This window comes from Homo sapiens, chromosome 5 (assembly GCF_000001405.40).
Source record: "Homo sapiens chromosome 5, GRCh38.p14 Primary Assembly".
Lineage (NCBI taxonomy): Eukaryota > Metazoa > Chordata > Mammalia > Primates > Hominidae > Homo > Homo sapiens.
Window position 1 is genome coordinate 64,686,777 of NC_000005.10, and position 3,697 is coordinate 64,690,473.

General features: G+C 42.0%; 3 annotated features.

Annotated features, from left to right (window-relative positions):
• Nucleotides 2,138–2,639: an enhancer, noted in NCBI's record as "NANOG hESC enhancer chr5:63984741-63985242 (GRCh37/hg19 assembly coordinates)". NCBI's record gives its function as "activates a minimal SCP1, AML or CMV promoter by ChIP-STARR-seq in primed H9 embryonic stem cells {active_cell/tissue: H9 hESC(primed)}" and the evidence as "EXISTENCE:reporter gene assay evidence [ECO:0000049][PMID:30033119]".
• Nucleotides 2,146–2,440: a silencer, noted in NCBI's record as "tiled region #12830; HepG2 Repressive non-DNase unmatched - State 21:Repr". NCBI's record gives its function as "represses a minimal TATA promoter and a strong SV40 promoter by Sharpr-MPRA in HepG2 cells {active_cell/tissue: HepG2}" and the evidence as "EXISTENCE:reporter gene assay evidence [ECO:0000049][PMID:27701403]".
• Nucleotides 2,146–2,440: an enhancer, noted in NCBI's record as "tiled region #12830; K562 Activating DNase matched - State 8:EnhW". NCBI's record gives its function as "activates a minimal TATA promoter and a strong SV40 promoter by Sharpr-MPRA in K562 cells {active_cell/tissue: K562}" and the evidence as "EXISTENCE:reporter gene assay evidence [ECO:0000049][PMID:27701403]".

Here is a 3,697-nt window from a genome sequence, read left to right on the forward strand (position 1 = left end):
GGCATTGGGGTTGGTTTAGCTACCTCTGAAACTCAGAGTCTGTGTGGAGAAACTAACATATGGGTAACCTTGGAAAGGAGGAGGGAGAAATGGGAGCTTGTATAAAGCAACAAATGTCCTTCATAGGGATGAAGTAATTTGGAAGTAATAGAGGGATGTATGCTTTTGAGGTTCTATGATCTTAGGTCTGTGTTCCCAGAGTGAGTGAGAACTGCAATGTGGAATATATAAGGGAGGACTTCCATCCCACCATGGGACACACTCATAGGAATCCATGAATATCTAGGTATCATGGTGCCTGGTATCTGAAAGATACAGCACAGCTCTAGGGACAGAATTTATTAACCCTTTCAGCAGCGAGAATTCATCAACACCCCACCCCACCCCTGCCTCCACTAGCACCATTATGCTCACTCAGCAACTCTGCTTCTAACCCTCCTTTTACTGCCAAGAAATTATTTTACTCTTTTTGGTTTTCTATACGTTTGTTCGTCTATTGTGCTGCCTTATAACCTGTAAGCTATAATTTCAGCTTTCTCGTGACCCCTGCTTCCTCGTGGCCTCTTCGTGTGCATCTTTTCAGATTCTACTCTACCTACCAATTGCTCAATTCTATTGGTTTCCGGGAGATATGGGGTGAGAAAATCCCATAGCTCGGCTTTGAAAACTGGACAAGATTTTGAGATAAAGAAGAAAGATATGACATTTCTTGCATAGAAAAACATACATTAAGATATTTCGGGGGCAAGAAGAAGATTGATTCACCAGAGCAGCGGAAGATGTTAAACAAGAGAAAAGTAAAGTTGGAAAGGTAGAGTGGCACTGGTTATAGAAACTTTGGAAATAAAGATACATTGAAAGCTTTTAAGCAAAGCACTCATCTGGCCTCTTCATTATTTCTATAGCCAAAGTCAGCTTTGTTTGAACCCTTATCTTTCTTTTACCCAGTAGCCAATATTTCTTGTCCCTAGTCTCTCTCTGCTTGTTCTGTCACGCCAATTCTCGGTAAACCCTACTGGGCTGGAAATTTGAAGTAAGGGGCAGCACTTACCTATAAGACACCACTTACCATTGTCCTGTGAGGAGTCATACCCGCAGTTCTCAGCCCTATCAGACTCAGTGTCCCCATTTTATAAGAAATCTTCCTATAACTTTCCCTTTGCTATCTTGAAATAGGATGTGTCTACATACCTAATTGTTATAGGCTGAACTGTGTCCTTCTAGGAATTCATATATTGAAGTCCTAACCACTAATACCTCAGAATGTGACCATATTTGGAGACAGAGCCTTTAAAGAGGTAACTAAAATAAAATTAGGTCACTAGAGTGGGCCCTAATCCAGTTCTAGGGTGTCCTTAGAAGAAGAGGAAATTTAGACAGAGACAAGTACGGTGAGAAGGTGACGTGGAGGCATAGTGAGAAGACAGCAATCGAGGCCTGTTAAGGAGACAATCCCAGGACAGATCCTTCTCCTTATGACTCTCAGAAGAAACCAATCCTGCTGACATCTTGATCTCAGACTTCCAGACTCCAGAACTGTGAGATAATACATTTCTGTTGTTAAGCCACCTGGTCTGCGGTACTTTATTATGGTGGACCTTGCAAACAAATACACTAATTATATATAATGCTTTTATTATAATATAAAGAATACATAAAAGGAGTGTAATTTACCATAAAATATATACAGTATTTCCATATGTAAATGCTCAAGCACAACTGTACCAAAAGACATAATGCTTACATCAATACTCTGCATGCAATAGCTATAAATCACTGTGGTGTGACGGTACAAATGCAGGCTGCCACAGTGTGCGGTGTTGGCAACACAAATACAAACCCTTAAGCAACATAACCATTGGCACATAATTTTTTGTGAAAAAGTCTTGGTAGAGTTCCAAACAAAACAAATAACAATCTTCCCTCATTTTACGTGGTAGCTGTATTCCTGGAAAATTCAACAAAAACACTGTATTTATTTGGAACACAAGGATAGGTTCTAAGTACAGACAATTGTAAGTAGGTTTTTCATCTACATGAATGTCCTGTAGAACATTTGAAAGTCACATACAGTTCTTCATTTTCCTGTACATGTTGCAGGGGGTCAGGATGTCTAGCATCCCTGACCCACATCCCTCAATGCCAGGACAGTGTCATCATGACAACCAAAAATGTCTCCTTATTTCCAGAATATTCTCTAAAGGGGAGTATCACCTTTGTGACACAAGAAGAAGAGAAAATAAAAGATGTAATCGATGGCTATCTTTTGGTGCGGGATCAGCCCCACCCTACTCCCTATCAGAACTCCTCCTGCCTGGAGGAAGATAACTGGGGACTAAGTCACAGGGGACTACACAGCAGGCAAGGTCAAGCAATTTCCTAACTGGTTAAAGCCGCAGTCTTAACACTGCCCTTAAGCTTCATATGGTAAAAGGCTCCTTTGTTGGTTTGAACTTCAGAGGCCTCAAGATACTCCAAGCTTGGTGAAATTTGGCCTCTGTGGTCATGCCTGTCTCTGGATTTTTCTGTGTTTTATGTGTTCCCACCAGTCACAATGGTAAGCCCTATAATTCACAAGTTTTGGGTAGAATAATTCGAAGGGTATTGCCTCAGTAGTGGGGAAAAATTCAGTCCTAAAGGCTAATCTAGTCCAGCCTAACAAATATTAAAAACAAACCCGAAAGACTCAAACTGTTTCCTGCATCCCAGTACAAAGCTCAAGAGTATTTATAGGAATGCAAAAACATCCAGTACCCAACAAGGTAAAATTCGACGTCTGGGATCCAATCAAGCCCCTGGCCAAGGGAAGGAAGCAGAAATGAAGAGGGAGAAACAATGCTCTATCTTGTACATTTTATGAATGTTATAATCGCCTCCTCTCCCATCGTAAGACTATTATTACCTTTTTGTTTATACACCCAAGCATTGTTTGGCTTATCACAATAAGCATGCATTATCATCGTTATTTTAAAAAGGCTTTGTGAACAAACCAATCAAGAAAATGGGAATATCAAACAAAAAGGAGACAAAAGAAGTTCCTACAGCACATCAAAACTGACTGAAGGTCTCTTTCTCCCTATTTCCTTTGCCTTTTTTTTTTCCTCTGGCTGCCTCCCTCTCTAGAAAGTTCTCACTTTCTTTACCTTCATGTCTTGCGTTTCTTAAACTTTCTGGATTTTTCAGCTGAACACCGAATGCAACTGCACCATGGCCAGTTGTTACAGGAGACTTTGTTTCTTGTTTTTTATTTTTAAATGGGCAGATCTTAATGTTTCACATTTACTTCTCAAAGAAAGAGAACACCAACTCCGCCTCTCTGGTGTTCAGCTGCCTTTTATCTGGTCCTCTCCTCCACTCCTTGAGTCAATGGCCGGGCAGTTAAGTCTCCACCAGACCCAGTCTGTTTGCCCAGAATCCACCTGCCCTGTCCCTAGACAGGAAAACTGCAACTTAGGCAGCATCTGCCTGCACTGAAAACATGTCCCACCTCTTCTTTTTTCCCTCTGGAGAAAGCTCTTTCTGGCATCGAGTGGGGACAGCTAAGGTCTCCAGGCTGCTGATGAAGTGAGGGAAAGTGGAGGAGAGTCGGCGCCGAGATGGGCGGATAAAAGGAGCGACCGCTCAGCAGCGAGAGGGAGAGGCGAGAGTAAGGCGCCCAGACACCATGTGGACAAGGGGAGGAGAGAAATCAGAGGTG